The following is a 21,601-nucleotide window of genomic DNA, read 5'->3' as shown; positions in this document are numbered from 1 at the left end:
AGCAGGCATGGAAGCTGAAACCATGGCACAAAGCCGAGGTGCAGGTGCGCAGAGGGTGGCACTCCATCGTCCCTGTGGTTCCCCAGACACTATCCATCCCATCTGTGTAAGGCAGTCATGGTGACCAAAAAAATACAAATACTCACTTTATGTTGAAGTGGTATGTTTCAGGGGTAGGAGACCTCAGGGCAAGAACAGGGGTGGAGGGAGAGATTTCTAAAGAACTGACAAGGTTCTATTTTAGTAATGGTCAGGGGGTGTCCATTTTATATAATAATCCTTTAAACTGTTCGCATGCTTTTTTATTTTTATTTTTTCACTCTCGGCCTCCCTCCTCTTTTGCATGCTTTATATACTTTTAAATGTGTATATTTCAAAAATTAAAACAATTGTTTTAAATACATTGGAATATGCTGTGTGAGCTTAGGGTTATTTTTCCTCAGAGGATAAGGCAAAGAGAAAATGATATCTGGGAGAACAAATATGACCCACGCGAACCTAGTAAAGTTGTTGCATTCCAGCATGTGTCCCTGTGTATATGTGCAAAAGCAGCTCAGCGCACTCCTGTGACCTTTTTAAATCTAGCATATTATCATAAATAAACACACATAAACAACTAATAACTTCAATTTTTAATAATGGAAACAATTTTGCCATTCTAGAAACTATTTTAGGGGAGAAAAATCTTCCCTACAAAAATAAACTTAAACCCATCAAAATTATAAATATTATAACTTTTTACTTCTGCCATTTAAAATGCTCTCCTGCAATACCACCCCTTCATTTAACATCCTTCCTGTACCATCACATATTGAAGAGAAAACAGTATTACAGCAAAGCTTAGATAGTTTAACATAATGATTTGTACAATGATTCTTAAAAAATCTTTGGCCTTAGTGGCCTTTTTTCTTCACTTACACATTAAAAATGCTGCTGCAGTAACCAGTGTTTGGGAAAGGACATCAGTCTTCAAGAACCATAAACTGACAGAATTTCAATACAGTAGGTTTCCAAATTGCAATTTGTAGTGCACATGACAGTAAGCGAGGTTTTGGGTAAATATAGATGAGGATGCCTATTCAGACAATCTACTTCAAGTAAAAAAAAAAAAAAAAAAAAAATTCACAGATACCCATCAGCTACTACTTTAGGTTCTAACAGTGTCTTAATCTGAGAAACAAATGCTTCACAAAATATAAGTTTACTGGGATGAATAATTAAAAAACCAGGTGGTAATAACAATATACTCAAATCCAGGCCATAGTCTGAATAATAAAACCAGTACAAAAAATCACGAAGGCATTCCCTGAACAATAAAGGTAAAGTGTTGGATGACAATGTCACTAAAACCTCATCAATGTACAAAAGAGAAGTTACATGCAAAATTAAACAAGATGTGCCATACATATTTTATAGCTAATTCTATTTTTTTCAACTTTCCTTAAATGCTTAGGAAGATATGATTGTCTCAGTAAATTGTGTGGCACAGCATAACAACTTAAGTCTGCCTCCAACAAGATGGGTATTCTCCAAAAAGTCAGAAGAGCCACCAAGAGACGAACAGAAATGCAATAAAAGGCACAGTTCACTTGGGCAAAGAACTGAAGCACCTTGGAATTTCAAAAAGAATCCATTAGGTGTCACCAAAGTGTTAACAATTCCTTGGGAATTTATAAACAAAAAATATCTAGACTAAAAATAGAATATAAGGCCCCTCTGGAACCACTGCACACCTTTCCCTCTGTTCTCAGATTAAACTGCTGCATAAAATGAGGTTATTTAGCCTGTTTTTAAGGAAGGCTTCTATTGCACATGCATCTCTTTGGTTGGTAATAACATGTACTTTTGTTAAAATATTTCCATAATGAAGCCCTGTTGTGTGGTTAGCTGGGTGTGGACTTTCCTCCCTTTCTTGGGGGCCCTCCTACTCACAGTCAAGTTGCCCTTTAGAACTAAAGATCTGGTAGGATTGGGTCTTTATTCAATAGCCCTGTTCTCTATTATGTAAGAACAGATTTCAATGTAGAAAAGAAAGGGAGAGGGAGAGAGAGGGAGGGAAGGAGGGAGGGAGGGAGGGAGGGAGGGAGGGAGGGAGGAAAAGAACAAGGTAGGGTGGGAGACAGCAGGGAAGGAAAGAAAAAAGGGAAGAAAGGAAAAGGAAAGGAGGAATAAAAGGGAAGAGAGTGATTGTCACCAAAGTTTACTTGACAAATATCCTAGCTAACAATCAAGGGAAAAACAGCTGCCCCTACCCAAATTCCGTCTCAACTTTGAAAACCACCTGTGGGGGGAAAGCTATACACTATGTAACTTAACAAGAGTTAGTGAACTGTCACTGTCCTGCCTATGCAGAGCAGCTACACCAATCAGACCTTCCACTCCAAAAGGGCAGAATTAAAGGGTCGGATCCAGCTGCGTGAGGCCCACCTCTGCCCAGGTCAGTAGGCTACACCTGCCTGATTCTCTGATTGGTCAGCTGCAGAGTTCATGGGTCCCTCCTTTTGGTTTAGCTCCTGCCTCTGGCTCTGTTCCCATATTCTACCCACCAGGAAACCAAGCGATCCTAAAATGGGTTTAACACCTCCACACTGAATGCTTTTAACTCGTTTACAAGCAACTACCCCTTTCTCCACTACCCCTAACTGAAAAGCCAAGTCACCTTCCATAGCCCGCAGCACTCGCCACCACCGCACATGCCTTCTTCCAAACTTACACTTTGCTTTCTCTGTCAACCCCCTAACAAAATCCTTCACAATAAATTCCTCAGAGTTCCTAGATTCCTGTGCCTTTCGATTCACATGGATAGATTCCTCTGACATTAAAAAAAGAAAACAAAACCAAACAAAAAACCAGACAGGTAGTTTCAAAATAGGACAAGTATTCAGAAAGATTCCTAGTTAAGCTTTTTAAAAAATCAACTGCATATCTGTAAGCTTAACAGCATCATCACATAATTAAAATAACCAAAAAAAAAAACACCCCCAGAGTTCATGCTTCCAAGCACCCTCGAATGCTCCTGATGAGGCGACAGGTTCACAGCTTGCCAAGAGGTAACACTGCGGTGCTGAACAACAAGCTTGCAGAGTCCCTTACATGGGACGCTAAGGTGCAGGATGCTGTGTGACCAGGTTTGGGGAACAAAATCTACAGATAGAAAGGCGAAGACCCTAGCATAGTGGGGCAAGACAGCAGCCCTCTGAGAAGAGAGGCACTTGCTGCTGTTTTGTACATCGGTCCTGCACCGGGCCTCACGGGCAGGGAGCCCCGCTTTAATCAGGCTTCCACACCTCACGGAGGGCTTCTTCCAGCTTCTGCCTGTAGGCTGTGTAGCGCCTCTTCAGGTTCTGCAGCTGTTCATCTTCTTCCTTGTCCAAGATGCGCAAGAAATTCTGTAGTTCTGGAAGGCTGAAGGCTTCCCACTGTCAGGAAACACAGAAAGAAAAATGCCAGATGTTTAATACTCAGTTAGACTTAGGAATGCTGACCAGGAGCTCCCAGAGGTGCGGCTGCCCTCCCCTCCCAGCCCCATGCCGCAGAAGGTGTGGTCTGCAAGAGCTGGGGTGTTGCCAGCCTAAGGGCTCCCTCCACTCCCACTCCCACCTCAGCTCACACCAATCACCTTCCTACCCTCTCCTCCCACTGTTCAAGACGATCTCCCTAAAAGCCAGAGACCTCCATATCCCTAAGTCTATTGGACACTTTCATTCCTTACCTGATTTGACCCCCAACAGCATTAAAAACAATTCGACAGTCCTTTCATCTTAACCTCGAGTCCTCATTGTAACTGACTTTCTTACCTCGCATAATCAGTCTTATCACCCCCAAACAGTTCTCCATTCAGCCTTTTCTCCCTCGGTACGGCCCCTTGGTGCTAGCTACTATCATCTATTCCTGCATCGCTGGAACAGCTTCCTACCTGGCCTCCTCACTCGGCTCTTATGCTCCCCCATCTGTTCCCCAAACAGAACATCCTTTGTAAAATGCTCATCTGGCCAAGACTCTCCCCTGCTTAGAACCATCCAATGGCTTCCCTTAGTTGCTGATGCTGTCTGAAAGACTCTAAACTCTCCGGCCCCATCTCTCTCTCACCGAGCTTCACTCTCTGCCCAAGTGGCACGCATTCTCCCCTCCTCCACTTTGCCTGGCTATGAACTACTCATCCTCCCCATCTCAGCTTAAATGCCACTTTCTCTAAGCAGCTTTCCACAACTTCCTCTCCTCTCTTCCCACCCAAGGCTAAGTGTATCAAAAGCCTTCACAGAGCCCCTGATCACAACCAAGATTTTTAAATTACAATTATTTGCTTAATATCTATCTCACCTGCACCTTACCTACACCACAGCTGCCGTACTTCTCGCTATTTGGAGTTTATCTCTTGCCTTGAGGCTCTGAGCCTTGTTTCCCTAACAGCTCCTAGTACTTATTTAGCAGGCACAAAATAAGTTTTTAGGCTGGGCATTGTGGCTCATGCCTATAATCCTAGCACTTTGGAATGCTTAGGCAGGAGGATCATTTGAGCCCAGAAGTTCAAGACCAGAAGTTCGAGACCAGCCTGGGCAAAATAGTGACACCAGGTCGCTACAAAAAATTTAAAAATTATCTGGCTGTGGCAGTACATTCCTGTAGTCCCAGTTACTTGGGAGGCTGAGGTAGGAGGATTGCTTGAGCCCGGGAGATTGAGGCTGCAGTGAGCCATGATTGCGCCACTGTACTCCAGCCTGGGTGACAGTGCAAGACCTAGTCTCTTTAAAAAGAAAAAAAAAAAAATTAAAACAGATTTTAAAAAATAGAAGCAGTGAATGTCAAGGAGGGTATCTAGCATCATCTACGAGGTTTTTTCCAAACACATCCTCCTCTCCCAAAGGGGGCCCTGGATCCTGGTGGAGAACTGCTGTCTGATGGTGTAGAGAAAAGATTCAAGATAACCAAATACAAACAAAGAGTGAAAAATAAGTAAATCCACCAAATGGGCTCAGTGGTAGAAGAATTCCTGGAGAACAGTTTAGGCTGGTTATTTAAAAAAAAAAAAAAAAAAAAGAGCAACATGGAGTAGGAGAGCAAAACTTCTACGTTAGAATATTCTGTTAATTTTTAAAATTTTAACAGATTATCTTTCACCTATGTTGAAGTCTCCAAAATAAAGACATCATATAAATATCCCTCCCACCCCCTAACAGCTATGGAAATTTCTTCCTCAGTTCAGTTTTCCTTAAATAACTGAGAAATAAGAACACCATACAGAGGTCCAGTACAGCAGTCTGGAACAATAAAACCCAATGTCAAGTCAATTTCAAAACTAAGTTAAGGCCAGGTGCAGTGGCTCATGCCTGTAATCCCAGCACTTTGGGAGGCTGAGGTGGGAGGATTGCTTGAGCCCAGGAGTTTGAGACCAGCTTGGGCAACGTAGTGAGACCCTATCTCTAATTATAATTAAAATACAATAAAATAACCAAGTTAATAAAATTCTTGCCCAATGTAGTTCTAGTTGCTACTTAAAACACTAAGTACAAGAAAAATAAAACACTGAGTAGACTATGCTAATGTGTCTGGCTTAAGCTGGCAGAGGGAATGGTCACCATCTGCAAAGCCAAGTCAGATTTCTGCACCCTGCCTTCTCCCCAAAATGAGTCTGAATGTCTTGAAAAGCTTCAAAACACCAGAATCAAAAGAAACTTCAAAAACATGTAAAACCACTGTCTTCCTAAAACTCCCTTCACTTACATGTATACATTTCTAATTGTGACTCAAAGCCCACCTTGTAAAGTGTTTAGTCCCACTTAACAGATTTTAAAACTGAGGGCTAAAAGATTAGAAGACTTATCCAAGGTCATGCTACTAATCTAACAAACAGTAGGAAACAGAGCCGTTTCCTAACTTTTAACCTAGAAACCCTATTCTCAATTGCACCATGTAGGACATTTCACACCATTTCCTGTTCCAGACAGAAGACTGGGACAGGAGCTTGGGATTTGCTCAAGTGTCATTTAAAGCTGACACTTGATCTAGAGGGCAGGCTCAAGTGCTTTTTTTCTTCTACTGAACTGGCTAAATACAATCCTCCCTGGAGACAACATGGCAAATGATGCACATGGAAACATAATTTCTTAATCAGTTGACTGGGCAAGGGGGAAAAAAAAGATGCTAGAAAGCTAAATGCCTTCCATGGTAAAGAGATCGAATTTCCTTTTATATCCCTTTAGAAGGGAATTAGCCTGGAGACTTTTGTTAGTAGCAAACACATGGTGAGTGTCAACTTTCAAAGTTCAGCTGGACTGGAGTATTTTGGAGGTGGGAAGGGGTGAAAATGACTCTCTGGATGGAGATCAAGTAAAAAAACTTTATTTTCTCCCACCTCTGAAAATGACAGACTAATAATATAAGGTTGTGAGAGAATGACATCATAGGCTAACTTTGGGTTCATTTCTGACAATTCAAAATCCCTCTCCCTCTCCCTGCCCTCCAACTCTCTTCTCTTCCCATCCCCCTGCCCTCCAACTCTCTTCTCTTCCCATCCCCCATCAATAGCCAAGTCACTAGGCTACTGCAATAAAATAGGGCCAGCTGTTCTGTATAGTTTAAAGCAATAGTGAACAATAACTTACCTCTCCAATTTCATGTTCACGAAGAACAAAACTAAGTGTGTCTGTTCTGGGCCCTGCTACCAAACGCAGGTAGAGTGGATGTTCCCGGTCTGAGAGCTTGCAGGCGTAGACTGGGTAAAGAAACAAGCAGCATGTTACAGAGTATTCAGCCATTCCTGAGACCACTTCCCCATTGTGATCCCCTCCTCCAGATCAAGGTAACCATCCAAGTTACCCCAGCCTCTAAGTCGCCAGTCGGCTCATCTTATTATTTAATACCAGTAGCCCACAGTGGAATAAAATCTATTCTGTTTCTGTTCAAATATAAACTGTGCCTTGATTAAGAAGGAAATTATTTTCAAGAATAAATTTTAATAGATATTAGTCCCAAAATATGCTTATAGTTAGCTCTGCTCTTCCTTTTAGAAAACAAGGTAAGAGCCAGGCATGGTGGCTCATGCCTGTAATCCCAATACTTTGGGAGGCCGAGGTGGGCGGGTCACCTGAGGCCAGCAGTTTGAGACCAGCCTGGCCAACATGGCAAAACCCTGTCTCTACTAAAAATACAAAAAATCAGCCGGGCGTGGTGGCGGGCACCTGTAATCCCAGCTACTTGGGAGGCCGAGGCAGGAGAATCACTCAAACCTGGGAGGTGGAGGTTGGAGTGAGCCGAGATCGTGCCATTGCGCTCCTGCCTGGGCAACAAGAGTGAAACTCTGTCTCAAAAAATAAATAAAATTTTTTTTAAATGAAAAAAAAAAGGCAAGATAAGAAACCTAAAAAAGGGTCCACTACTCCTTTAAAAACAATAAAAATAGGCCAGGCATAGTGGCTCGCACCTGTAATCCCAACACTTAAAGGCTGAGGCAGGAGGATCACTTGAGGCCTGGAGTTCGAGACCAGCCAGGGCAACATAGCAGGACCCTGGTCTCCAAAAAAAAAAAATTTTTTTTTCTAACTAGCCAGGCATAATGGGGCCCGCCTATAGTCCTAGCTACTTAGGAGGCTGAGGCAAGAGCATCACTTGAGCCCAGGAGTTCAAGGTTACAATGAGCTATGATCATGCCATGGTACTCCAGCCTAGGTGACAGAGTAAGACGCTGTCTCAAAAACCAAGGCCAGGCGTGGTGGCTCATACCTGTAATCCCAGCACTTTGGGAGGCCGAGACAGGCAGATTGCCTGGGGTCAGGAGTTTGAGACCAGCCTGGCCACCAACATGGTGAAACTCTGTCTCTACTAAAAATACAAAAGTTAGCTGGGCATGGTGGTGGGCACTTGTAATTGTAGCTACTTGGGAGGCTGAGGCAGGAGAATCACTGGAACCCAGGAGGCGGAGGTTGCAGTGAGCCGAGATTGTGCCACTGCACACCAGCCTGGGCAACAGAGCAAGACTCCGTCTCAAACAAACAAACAAAAAACAAATTTAAAAAAAAATGTATATACCATCCAAAGAACATAAAAACAAGAGTTCTAAAAGCAAATCTCTCTACAGATTAATTAAGAATTAGCGAGGCCAGGCGCGGTGGCTCACACCTGCAATCCCAGCACTTTGGGAGGCTGAGGCGGGCGGATCACAAGGTCAGGAGATCGAGACCATCCTAGCTAACACAGTGAAATCCCGTCTCTACTAAAAACACAAAAAAATTAGCCAGACGTGGTGGCGGGCGCCTGTAAGTCCCAGCTACTCGGGAGGCTGAGGCAGGAGAATGGCGTGAACCCGGGAGGTGGAGCTTGCAGTGAGCCAAGATTGCGCCACTGCACCTCCAGCCTGGGTGACAGAACGAGACTCCGTCTCAAAAAAAAAAAAAGAATTAGCGAATTAGCAGCTACAAACCAAGCAATCAGAATATAAGCTCCGGTAGCTTCAAGCACAGCTATATATGTCTCATGCTAGACACACACATACAGTGACATTGCCAATCATGTTAAAGGATTTGCCAGCCATGGGGGTAATATTTCAACAAGTCACGATTACTTTCAGATTGTACAGCTAAAGTCCAGGTGAGCAGGCAAAGAAACTGGCAGATAAAAATGCCATCGAGCTTCTCTACATTATTGTGGCACTTCCAGATGCACTGCATCGCAGGTGCCAATTTCCCTATAGATATAAGCCCCCACAATACTAAGCTTGTGACCTCTGAAGGTAGGAACCCTGGCCTGTTCATCTTTGTATTCCACAGGGTCTAGCCCCATGGTTTGTTTTTAAAAAGATGTATGCATACTCAGCAATGAGCTGGGTTTCATCCTGTGTAACTGAAGAACATTACTATCATGTCAAGGTTAATATATTTTCTTCTATAGCTACATTAGGCTTTACCGAGAAAAACCAAAGAAAGCTTAAATAGTTTATTGTACACACACACACACACACACACACACCCCGATTTCAAATCGCATGTAGTGAGTCACTGAATCACTACTGTCCACCAATGTTATCAATTTCTGGTCACTGCCTGACCTGGAATATCTCATTCTGTTTCACGCAGTAATTTAATATTTAATGTTCTCTTTCTATCCCCTGAATGTGGATATGAAGTTTTAGTCAGACCCTAGATCAAAATGTTATTCACTCATTTGATGAGCCTCTGGGGGACAGAGTACCAAAATGTCCCGGCGTAACACCAAGTGAGACAAGCTAAGGCAACAGGAGAGCCCAGGGCTGGGCCGTTTCCATCAGTACGCTGAAATGTGCTGTGATGCACATGTGCCTCCCCAGTCGCAAGATCTCAGCACACATCCACCAAACCACTCCACGTACTGATGCACATCAAATGTGGAATGTGCTATTGAAAACTTCAAACACAGAGGCACTCTTTTGTGTCCTAAAGAAAACTAAAATCAAAGCCACTCCTAACAACCACCAAAAACAGCCCCCGCCCCATCCCCCCACCAACACCACAAAATACTCGTAACTGCCAATCACATATGGATGCTTCCAAGCTCCTCAGACCCTCAACTGTCCAACTCAAAAATATGGACAGCCAGGAAGCACTAAGTGCATGCTAAGATCACCATGGCTTCCAGCATCGGACTCCAGGCTCTGACACAACTGACATGGATGAGACCCACCAGTCTTCCCTCTGCTAATGAGAACAGCAGATGCAAGTAGAAGCACAGACCATTTTCCTTTTAAGCTGGCAGCGTACCTTGGTCTTCCCTGTGACAACGCTTATAAAGTGCAAACTTGGCAGGGCTCTCAGTCACGAGAAACTTTTTGAGCAGGGCCTCGATCACTTCCCCGACAGTGTTTGTGCTGCTGATATGAAGTGTATTCATACAGCCATTGCTACTGGGAGAGAGTTTTCCAGAATTTGGAGAAGTCTGTGGAGGTTTGCAGAGTTCCATCTGTACTTTAATGAAGCCAGTGTAAATCCCATTTGAATTCTGAAGCAGGGAGAGAAGCACACACTTAGCTGGGTGGATGGTGGCACTTTAGGGAAGAAGCATATCAAAACAAAACGGGAAGGTGAAACACTCCTTTGTTCTCTTCTCTTGAGGTTTGTGGCAGAACTTCACTAAAGATTGCCCCCAAAGGAATGACCTCAGAGGGCGGTTAACACACCAGGCAAAGTGCTTCCAGAGGCAAGGTCTGCAGGGCAGATGTGGACACTGAAGAAGCCTCCTGATGCTGTGGCTGACTGCCGGCCCCAGACTCATGCCTCTGAAGCTACTGGCAAAAGGTCAGGGTCCATTTGCGAGGTTACAATCCAACGGAGCAGATGCTAGCCAAACCACAAAACTTATTAAAGCTTGGGGGATATGTCTAGGCTACAGGCTCAAAGGAAACAACATCCTCAACTGGTGACTATTATACACAAAAGGAAGGTCACAATTAGGGCTCTGAAATACTGAAGTCAACAACAAGGGGACAGTAAGAAAACAGGCTATTTTCATTCCTAGTGGCTATATTCATATGCACTGAATTACTAACTCTGCTTAAACTTTTTAATGCAGCATATATGCCATACAGCATAGAATGCATTTCGGGTCTCTTAAGCAGCATTTTAAAAAAAAATTCAATCGCTTGAAACCAGAAGGTGGAGGTTGCAATGAGCCAAGATCACGCCATTGCACTCCAGCCTGGGCGACAGAGCAAGATTCTGTCTCAAAAAAAAAAACAAAAAACAAAAACAAAACAAAACAAAAAAAAACAAATTCAAACCACTATACTTCACAGTACAGATCTTAAAAACAACTACCTTCACTGATGGTAGAATTACTATTTCTTAGTTGCCAAAAACAGTAATAACAGTTTGGTCTTCACTTTTTATTTTTATTTTTGTATTCAGTATATTTGGGGCCAGGCGCAGTGGCTCATGTCTGTAATCTCAGCACTTTGGGAGGCCGAGGCGAGCAGACCACTGGAGGTCAGGAGTTCGAGACCAGCCTGGCCAACAGGGTGAAATCCCGTCTCTACTAAAAATAAAAATAAAAAAAAATTAGCTGGGTGTGGTGGCAGGTGCCTATAATCCCAGCTACTCGGGAGGCTGAGGCAGGAGAATCTCTTGAACCCAGAGGTGGAGGTTGCAGTGAGCCGAGATTACGAGATTACGCCATTACACTTCAGCCTGGGCGACAGAGACTGCATCTCAAAAACAAACAAAAACAGTATATTTAGAAAAGATTTATTGTACTGTTTTATTAAACTGTCAAGTGTTACATATAAATGCCACAGTTAAAGTAGAACATTTAAAACTATCTTTATGGTGTGTTATTTTTCTTCCTTCCCACAAGATCAATTTTCAATCCTAATTCTCTAGTTTGTTCTTTTTTGAGACAGGGTCTCACTCTCTCACCCAGGCTGGAGTGCAGTGGCACGAACACAGCTCACTGCAGCCTCAACTTCCTGAGTTCAAGTGATCCTCCTGCCTCAGCCTCCTGAGTAGCTGGGACTGCAGGCACCCGCCACCATGCCTGGCTAATTTTTCTATTTTTAGGAGAGATGGGGTTTTGCCATGTTGACTAGGCTGGCCTTGAACTCTTTTTTTTGAGATGGAGTCTTGCTCTGTCGCCTAGGCTGGAGTGCAGTGGCACGATCTTGCCTCACTGCAAGCTCTGCCTCCTGGGTTCACGCCATTCTTCTGCCTCAGCCTCCCGCGTAGCTGGGACTACAGGCGCCCGCCACCACGCCTGGCTAATTTTTGTATTTTTAGTAGAGACAGGGTTTCACTGTGTTAGCCAGGATGGTCTCGATCTCCTGACCTCGTGATCTGCCCACCTCGGCCTCCCAAAGTGCTGGATTACAGGCGTGAGCCACCGTCGAACTCTTGACTTCAAGTGATCCACCCGCCTCAGCCTCCCAAAATGCTGAGATTACAGGTGTGAGCCACTGTGCCCAGCCTAAAATTTTTATCTTTAAAATGACATGGATAATTTGTATCTGTTTTAGTCTCTATCAGGAAAGGAAAAAAAAAAAACATAGCAAGTGGATTTCTCCTTTGATGAAAAAATGTGTTTGAAAAAGAAATCTTGCTGCTGGAATGATGAAGAGTTATCTTGGGATTCTCTGCTCCTCTCCCCTCTTTTTGGAGGAGTTCTACCAGGGAGGGGTCCTTTACCACAAGGGTTTCTATCTGAAAGCTCCTCCCCAAGAATCACCGATTCGGTAGGGCCTGTTTTAAACCAATCACCTTGTCCTTTACCAAACTCTGTCAGTTCACAGTAAACAGACTGAGAGACGGGGATCCAAGTGCCCTGGAAACTGGCGCCAAGGGCTGACAAGTGCCATGAAGAAGGCGGGCCACCCAATGGGTAGGCGAGACCTAGATGCCAGCTAAGTTTAGAGGAACATGAATACTCTAGCTCCGCTGTCAGCTCGTTTCCCTATCCCCAGGCCCTGAGGCTTCTCCCTCCTGTACGCCGACTCCCTGCATGCTTCAGTGTGGCACAATGCTGTGGAAGCCTGCGACAGCGACGTGGAAGAAACTGAGTATTAAGTACCTTGTCTTACACTAACGACCGGCAGAGAAAACTATCCTATTATATACCTCTATATTCCAATCCATGGGCTCAAAATCCTTTCCCTGACACTTCCATATTTATTTTGTACAAGACAAAAACTTAGGGGCTTCTGATACCTGTAATCCCAGCACTTTGGGAGGCCAAGCTGGGCAGATCCCTTGAGCCAAGGAATTTGAGATGAGCCTGGGTGATATGGCAAAACCCCGTCTCTACAAAAAATACAAAAATTAGCTGGGCATGGTGGCAAGCACCTGTGGTCCCAGCTACTCGGGAGGCTGAGGTGGGAGGATTACTTGAGCCCGGAGGTCGAGGCTGCAGTGAGCGGTGATCGTGCCACTGCTCTCCAGCCCAGGTGACAGAGCAAAACCTTGTTTCAAAACAAAACAAAACAAAAAACCTTACCTGAGGTCTTCTTAGAATCTGAGTCACCATTTCTGTATGTTAGGCAATGATGCTAAAAATCCTTTGAGGAGGGAGGGGTGGGTCACAAAATCTTTTAAAATAAAATTATAAGTGTTTCACTTTTTTAAGGTTAACCCAGCAACTGATTTTTGAGACAAAGCTACTTCACAATACAGATTTAAATGGAAAGCCACAGAAATATTCCACTTTCCTGTTCTGTATACCTTGACTACTACACTTCTACAAATGCTATTCAGATATTTAGAACTATAGATTGTAGTACCAACAATTTATATTTGTCTTTTGACAGGTGTCAACCTAAATAGTATTTTGAGTGCTTACCAAGGTCATCTTCAACTTGTCTGTGACTGCTAAGTTGTATTTATGAACTTTCTCTTTGATCTCCTCTTTGCTGAGGTAACTGTGGGTTTCCTTCTCTTTCTCAACATCCTAGAAGAAAAACAAGACATGTCACATGTGAGCAATCATAAAAAAAAGTGCGGATAGGCCGGGCGCAGTGGCTCACGCCTGTAATCCCAGCACTTTGGGAGGCTGAGGTGGGCGGATCACCTGAGGTTGGGAGTTCAATACCACCCTGACCAAAATGGAGAAACCCTGTCTCTACTAAAATTACGAAATTAGCTGGGCATGGTGGCGCACGCTTGTAAACCCAGCTACTTGGGAGGCTGAGGCAGGAGAATCACTTTGAACGTGAGAGGCAGAGGTTGTGGTAAGCTGAGATCACGCCATTGCACTCCAGCCTGGGCAACAAGAGCAAAACTCTGTCTCAAAAAAAAAAAACAAACAAACAAACAAACAGATAAGTCAGGATTTTTTAAAAATTCCACACAAGGGCCGGGCACGGTGGTGGAAGCCTGCAATCCCAGGACTTTGAGAGGCCAAGGACGGCAGAGCTTAAGCCCTGGAGATTGTGACCAGGCTGGGCAACATGAGGAAACTCTATCTCTACAAAAAATACAAAAATTAGCTGGGCACAGTGGTGCACACCTGTAGTCGCAGCTAGTTAGGAGGCTGAGGTGGGAGCATCACCTCAGCCCAGAGGTCGAGGCTGTAGTGAGCCATAATTATGCCACTATGCTCTAGCCTGGGTGACAGAGTGCGACCCTGTCTCAAAAAAAAAAAAAAAAAAATTACAACCACACAAGAAGAACCTTATTGTTCTTGCATGTTACCTTGAAACACACACACACACACACACACACTCACTCTCTCTCTCTCTCTCTCTCCTTCTCTCCCTCGCTGCTTCTCTTTCTCTCTTACCTTCAAACTCTCCAGGCTCATCCACCAATTACGGTTCTCATTCTTTCATACTACAGTCTTCCTAGGGGATATATTTTTTAAGAAAACTAATTTGTCAGCAGCTACAAGTAACACTTCATTACCAATATATTCTGCAAAACTGTCATTGCTAAATTTCCCTTCTGCAAAAACATCATTTCCTCAGCATGCCTGCTAGATTGGCCATTTCTATTTTAAACAACATTTAAAGACATTTACCACAAGTTTCTCTTTAGCAACTTGTATTAACTCTGTTGTCTTTATAGCTTTACAATATTTATTGGCAAAAAGTACAGCAGTTAATCAGTATTAACTGGCACTATTCACGGACTCATACTAATCACTGACCTGTAAACTGTACACAACTACCAGAGGATAATTCATCTTCCAAACAAATCCCCAGGCCAAGATACAAGTAGCCAGACTTCTCCTTCCCACCCTTCCAGTCTCACCCACTTCTCTACCTCCCCACACTCTAGAGGGAGAAATATCGGTTAAATCCTCTTCTCACTGTGAAGAATTTACCAATAATTAGCTGTCTAAAGAGTCCCACCAGTGCATGACATTATGCAGTAGCAGACATGATCACAAATGACCAAATGACAGCATTTTGTCACCCTGATGAAGTATACCAGGCACCAAACTTGTATTGCCTTTACTTCTCCCAACAACCTAATCAAGGAGGCATTATTATGCCAGTTTCAGTAAATTAAACTGCTGAAAAAAAATGTGGAAGCAAATGAAAGCCTGCTAATCCTCCCTAACTCCAACCTTTACTGGGAGCTCTAAGTAATTCCACAGGGGTGTTCTCATTTAATCCTCCCAACAATGAGCTAATTAATGCTAATTAGCACCCCTACGTTACAGATAAGGACAGAAGATTTACAGAGGTCAAGCAGTTTGTCCAAGGACAACCCAACTAGTTGAGAGACCAAGTTCCACTTTAATCCAGGTCTTCTAGGGTGCTCCCACTAAATCCAATCAGTCCCCAAAGGTCTGGTGTGGGTAAACATTTAAAAACTTACAGAAAAGCTGCATAATCAGATTCAACACAAAGAGAGGAAGAACAGTTAAAATCCAATGATTTACTCCTGCAAAATAAAGCCTTTGTAAACACGCCTCTTTCTGCCAGACACATCACATCATTCTCACAGCTGGATAGTCTCCAGGCAGGCACTGGTTTCCATCTGCCCACTGGAAGCTAGTGTCGTAAATACAGCAGGAGGGGCTACTACAGAACTTGCGTCAATACCACGTAGAGTAAGAAAAGGCTCTTGATCCATTGAAGCCTCAAGATCTTTGACTTTAGACCCTAAGAGGGGTGTGCTGACTACAAATTATCTCGGTGACTTTTCTTTTTTTTTTTTTTTTGAGACGGAGTCTTGCTCTGTCACCCAGGCTGGAGTGCAGTGGCCGGATCTGGGCTCACTGCAACCTCCGCCTCCTGGGTTCACGCCATTCTCCTGCCTCAGCCTCCCGAGTAGCTGGGACTACAGGCGCCCGCCACCACGCCCGGCTAATTGTATTTTTAGTAGAGACGGGGTTTCACCGTATTAGCCAGGATGGTCTCGATCTCCTGACCTTGTGATCCGCCCGCCTCGGCCTCCCAAAGTGCTGGGATTACAGGCGTGAGCCACCTATCTCGTGGCGCCCGGCCTATCTCCGTGACTTTTCAATGTCAGCACCATCCTGGTGAAGTCTAATGGGTCAGTATATTGGGTAATACTGGATAAATACCAGCACAAGATAATGTGTTCATTCCCTAGCTTCAGGGGTAGGCTTCAAAGTCCCTTGGGAGCATCCTATTTGCCAAGGTAAAACCCCAAAGTAATCTTATTTTTGGTATTAGTGTTTGGTGGGGGAAAAGCTGTGGATTAAAATAAACTTTCAAAAGCTCCAGAGACTACTTCCAAGAAAGTGTTTTGTTTTGTCTGAGACAGGGTCTCACTTTATCACCCAGGCTAGTGTTTAGGGGCGTGATCACGGCTCACTGCAGCCTTGACTTCCTGAGTTCAAACATTCCTCCCACCTCAGTCTCCTGAATAGCTGGGACTACAGACAAGCACCACTGCGCCTAGCTAATTTTTTGTACAGATGACGTCTGGCTATGTTGCCCAGGCTGCTCTCGAACTCCTGGGCTCAAGCAGTCCTCCCACCTTAGTCTCCTAAAGTGCTGAGATTACAGGTATGAGCCACTGCACTGAGCCCCAATGAAGTTTTAAACATGTATCATATCTCTGATTGTCTTGCTCTTACCAATCCACAATTAGCTGGGTACCAGTCATAGCTGAAGAAGAAAATGAGGTAGTCTTGGCTTGTACATTCAGTTTTAACTGTCCAAAGACTCTTCAAAGCATATACTAAAAAGTGTACAATAAGGGACTTAAAATCTCATGGATGTGGGATGGGAAGTTGGCAGGGCAAAGGGGTGTTGCAGAAAGTGCACCACACCTGCAAGACTTGGGCCCCAGTCCTGGGTCTGTCACCAACTAACCCTGTGCCTTGGGCTTAACCTTTCTGAGCCTGTTCCCTCATTCTCTACCAAACAAGGAACTAGAGTCAATCACCTCCTCTAAGGTGCTTCCTGGCCTAGGCTGATCTGATTGCAAAGATGTGGAGGTGCTTTCACAAGTGTGACCAAGGGCAAAAGGGTTCCATGTGAGGAATCACCAAAGGTTCACCATTAAATACACAGGAAATGGCTAAGCACATACACAGCAGCATACATACATCCTAGGGGCTTACTACCACTCACGTGAGAATTCTAAGAATGAGGAGAAGGAAAAGGGGTAATGGGAGTTAAGTAAAGCTGGTTAACCCTAAATTACAGGTTTTGCTCATGCTATGGGACTTAACACCCAGCCTTAGGCCCCTTCGCACAGGCAGACCGAGAAGCTTGAGGAAAATCCAAAGAGTAAGCCAGTCTGGAAAGAGAAATTTTCCCTGGATCATCCACACATAGATAACTGAGACATCCTTACGTAACAATTATCTTTCCTTCTCAGAGATTAAAAACTAAGGAAACTGGCTGGGCGCGGTGGCTCACACCTGTAATCCCAGCACTTTGGGAGGCCGAGGCGGGCGGATCACCTGAGATCAGGAGTTTGAGACCAGCCTGGCCAACATGGTGGCCTTGTCTCTATTAAAAATACAAAAATTAGCTGGGCATGGCGGCAAGCACCTGTAGTCCCAGCTACTTGGGAGGCTGAGGTAGGAGAATCGCTTGAAACCGGGAGGCGGAGATCGCAGTAAGCCGAGATCACGCCATTGCACTCCAGCCTGGGCGACAGAGCGAGACTCTGTCTCAAAAACAAAAACAAAAAAAAACAAAGATCAGCTGGAAAGTATATCCCAGAAAAGCAGGTAAAACCCCAAGGGCCCTGATGCTGTACTTTTTAAGCCAAAAATGTAGCAATCATACACCAAGGCCTCATCATTCAGCAAATATTTGCTGAGCTTCTGCCATGTGCCAGGTACCTGCCTAAGTGTGGGGCAGTCAGGCTCAGCAGCAGACACCACGCCCGTCCTCACGGGGCGTGGTGTCTGCACAAGTGGAGTGGGGAAGGTCAAAGGACAAGCTGCTTCCAAAATGGCCCCCAAGCACTGTTTCTCTGGGTCTCATAGCAAAGAAGATATAAGCTCAGGCCTTGGAACAGAGGACAGTGGTTTCATTTAGCATCAGAGAAAGACCCTTAACTCTAAAAACTTTCCAATTGTTTACCCCTTTAAAAAAGACCCTCCCGTCCCCTCACAGAGTAGAATCCTGCCCCTTCCTCCACATACAATGATTATGAATCAGAACCACAATTTCTAGGAACGCAGCTGTATGCCCAGGAAAAAGGAAGAGAAGAAAACGAAACCCAGGAGGGGCATAGTAGCTCCAACAGGTAAAGGGGTGAGAGCAAGAAAGAAGGGTTAAAAGAAAATGGTGCAGCGGACGTGGAATAGATACAATACCAAGTGTCAACCCTGGTCTTTCATTGTGATGGCAGGAGAGGAAATGGCATGGGGCGCAGCCGTCTGTGGATAATGTGTCAGTTATTGTTCTTGGCAGCCAGTGAGGGCATCATGCCACGCCTGAGAGCGTCTGCTTGGTGAGTTACAAGTCATCTTTTCATAAGTCAGTTTTGTTTTGTATTCCCCAAACCCTCCAGCAGTTTCTCAGAGGAAGAGTTCTTCCACAAAAAAATATTTCATAAATCCTAGACTCTTCCCTCATTGTTTCCAGCCAGCAAGCCCTGGAGAGCTGCTCTCAGGCTCACTTCAGTTCCTGGGTGGGGTTACGTCACTGTTTTTCAGTAGCGAACTTTCTCAGATGGGACACACCCAACCTCACAGGCACCCAGGAGTTCTCGGGTAGCATGACCCAGGCTCTACTCAAGAAGTGCGGCCCAATCCCACAGGCTCACAACTCAGACTTTCTAAGAATATGTCCCAACAAATCTCAGTAAAGGGTCTGAGAATTGTTTATACTCTTTTGGTTAATTTTTCTATAACTGTGAAATTATATCAAAATTAAAAACATAAAAACATAACAAAATGCCCAAATAAACATAGTGCAATTAAGAGTGACTGTTCAGGCTGGGAGCGGTGGCTCACGCCCGTAATCCCAACACTTTGGGAGGCCAAGGTGGGTGGATCACGAGGTCAGGAGTTCGAGACCAACCTGGCCAACATGGTGAAACCCCATCTCTACAAAAAATACAAAAATTAGCTGGGTGTGGTGGCACACCTGTAATCCTAGCTACTCAGCAGGCTGAGGCAGGAGAATCACTTGAACCTGGGAGGCAGAGGTTGCAGTGAGCTGAGATCGTGCCATTGCACTCCAGTCTGGACAACACAGCAACTCTGTCCCCACCCCCGCTTCAAAAAACGAGTGACTGTTCAAAAGAGAGAAGGTGAATGTGGCCCTATCATTTCCTCTACTTTAGCTTAGTGACGGCCTGTGGACTATGATTTAGACATACTTAGGTCTAAAATCACACAGCTCTGCCACATTCTAGCTGCGTGACCAGAGGCAAGTTACTTAACCTCTCTGGGCCTCAGTTTTCTCATTACTGTAAAATGTGCAAAAGAATATCTACACAACTGTTATGAAGATATAATATAAGCCATTATTCAACAACTATTTATTGAGTGCCTATTGGTGCCAAGCACTTAAAGCTGTGAGAGACAGTTGTGGACCCCACCTTTCTGCCTTTGCTTGGCTGACAGCCTAGTTTACCTTACTCCCCACCCCAGCCCCACAAGAGGTTTTTGGGTTTTTGTTTGGTTTTTTTTTTTTTTTTTGGTATTACGGATCTCTTTAAAAAATAAAGACCTTTTACCAAAAACAAACAAACAAACAAAAAAGAGCAAATATTAATAGCACAGATGCTCTGATTGAGTGGGGGACAATATATGCACAGTGCCTGATGCCAGTGGCATGACACTCAGTAAGTGGTACCATCACACTGCCACTAGGAGGTCCCAGAGCTCTCACAGGTGCTCTGACACCTGGTCAGGTGTGGGGTCCAGCCTGTGTCAGCAGAGAAGGGTGAACTTCCCAGGCCAACAGGTGCTTTCTCCAAGTGAGGCTAGATTCTGAAATCATGAATTCCTACTTTTCATCTCATCGTCTCTTTTGGCAATAGGCAGTCACCTGCTGATGACCAACAGACTGCAATACCCAGTGCAATAACAGACAGAACAGGTTCTAGCCTAGGAATTGCATAGAGCAAAACATCAAGCACCTTTCACATGTAAAACATCACATTTATTGGAGCAGTGGGCCCATCCCATGTTGCAAATGGAATTCAAGCCTAGCTCAAACTGAACTGAGTCTAGGTCTTGACTCCTCTAGATGTCTTCTAATAAGGACATCAAATAAAGTACCATGGACCAGACCTTAAGAGAAAAACATTCTCTGGGAGAGACATTTCCACTGAATTCATGGAGGGACTTATAAGCAAACCAAAGCAGGTTTGCAATGAAGCATGGTATGAAGTAAGTGATTTCCATGAGCTACAGAGCAAGCAGTGTGGGGGTTTCAAAGGAAATTTCAAAAGAAAATTTCAGCATGTGAAGTTAGATGCTCCTAAACTAGATTTTAAAGTATGACTAATAGGGAAAAATACTGTTCTCAGAAGTCTTTTAGGTATACAAAGTGGAGACCGCCCTGTGATGAATACAAAGAGAACTGTCACACAGAGCTAAACCTACAAAGCCCTAGGAGGGTCTTCCAGGTGGGGAGCATGTCCTGCTCAACCCTAGTGAAATGTATGAGAAGAGCCACCTGGGACAGTTTTGTATTTACGTTTGATGTCTGTCCAATGTTCTTCACTTTCAGTACCAAAACTTCTAAGATATTAAAGTAAGCAGAGTCACCAAGCATGGTGTCTCACGCCTATAATCCCAGCACTTTGGGAAGCTGAGGCGGAAGGGTCACCTGAGCCCAGGAGTTCAAGGCCAGCCTGGGCAACACAGCACACCCTGTCTCTAAAAAAACAAACAAAAAAATAGAAATAGCTGGGTATGATGGTATGCACCTACAAAAAATTGTTTTAAAATAATAAAGTAGGCAGAGGTATTGAGGGAGCCCAGAACGTTTTCTCAAATAATGATCAGCATTGTTGATATACATCAGGGCTATCCAGCAGTATTTTCTGCAGTGGAGGAAATGTCCTGTGACCGTGCTGTCCATCAGAGCAGCCAGGAGCAACATGTGGCTTCTGAGCCCTGGAAATGAGAACTGAATTTTAAGCTCCATCTAATTACTGTAGTAAACATTGCAAATACAGACTATAATAGACAGAGGTGTAAATGAAGAATGAGGAAGGAAAAACCCCACATAAAACGATGTGAAACAGGATGTTCTAGAGCAATACTCCAGGCCAGGCACAGTGGCTCATTCCTGTAATCCCAGCACTTTAGGAGGCCAAGGCAGGTGGATCCTTCGAGCCCAGGAGTTCAATACCAGCCTGGGCAACACAGGGAGACCTCGTCTCTACTAAAAATAGAAAATTAGCTGGGCATCGTGGTGTGCGCTTGTAGTCACAGCTACTTGGGAGGCTGAGGCAGGAGGATCACTTGAGCCCAGGAGATGGAGGTTACAGTGAGCCAAGATCGTGCCACTGCACTCCAGCCTGGGCAACACAGCAAGACACTGTCTAAAAAAAAAAAAAAAGTGGCCAGGTGCAATGGCTCACGCCTGTAATCCCAGCATTTTGGGAGCCCAAGGTGGATAGATCACCTGCAGTCAGGAGTTTGAGACCAGCGTGGCCAACATGGTGAAACCCCATCTCTATTGAAAATACAAAATTAGCCAGGTGTGGTGACGTGAGCCTGTAATCCTAGCTACTTGTGAGTCTGAGGCAGG

The 21,601-nt window shown here is 44.4% G+C and overlaps 1 protein-coding gene across 6 annotated transcripts in view, besides 1 other annotated feature; it reads right to left on the bottom strand.

Moving 5' to 3' along the window:
- Positions 1-617: 617 nt before the first annotated feature.
- Positions 618-21,601, bottom strand: part of RASSF3 (Ras association domain family member 3) — a 190,601-nt gene continuing 169,617 nt past the window's right edge. For 4 of the 6 annotated variants that reach the window (XM_047428711.1, XM_011538195.3, NM_178169.4 and 1 more), the window contains 4 exons: positions 13,288-13,395; positions 9,729-9,966; positions 6,603-6,712; positions 618-3,419 (listed from right to left, as the gene is read on the bottom strand). In XM_047428711.1, the coding sequence (XP_047284667.1) occupies positions 3,270-3,419; positions 6,603-6,712; positions 9,729-9,966; positions 13,288-13,395 (606 nt within the window). In that variant the 3' untranslated portion in view covers positions 618-3,269. Of the gene's footprint in view, positions 3,420-6,602; positions 6,713-9,728; positions 9,967-13,287; positions 13,396-21,601 lie in introns of those variants that run through there. The other 2 variants (NR_040718.2, XM_047428712.1) reach the window with 2 other exon arrangements.
- Positions 3,699-3,993: a silencer, noted in NCBI's record as "tiled region #4654; HepG2 Repressive non-DNase unmatched - State 15:Elon". NCBI's record gives its function as "represses a minimal TATA promoter and a strong SV40 promoter by Sharpr-MPRA in HepG2 cells {active_cell/tissue: HepG2}" and the evidence as "EXISTENCE:reporter gene assay evidence [ECO:0000049][PMID:27701403]".

This window comes from Homo sapiens, chromosome 12, assembly GCF_000001405.40.
Source record: "Homo sapiens chromosome 12, GRCh38.p14 Primary Assembly".
Taxonomy (NCBI): domain Eukaryota; kingdom Metazoa; phylum Chordata; class Mammalia; order Primates; family Hominidae; genus Homo; species Homo sapiens.
This window is presented reverse-complemented; position numbering and strand designations above follow the sequence as displayed.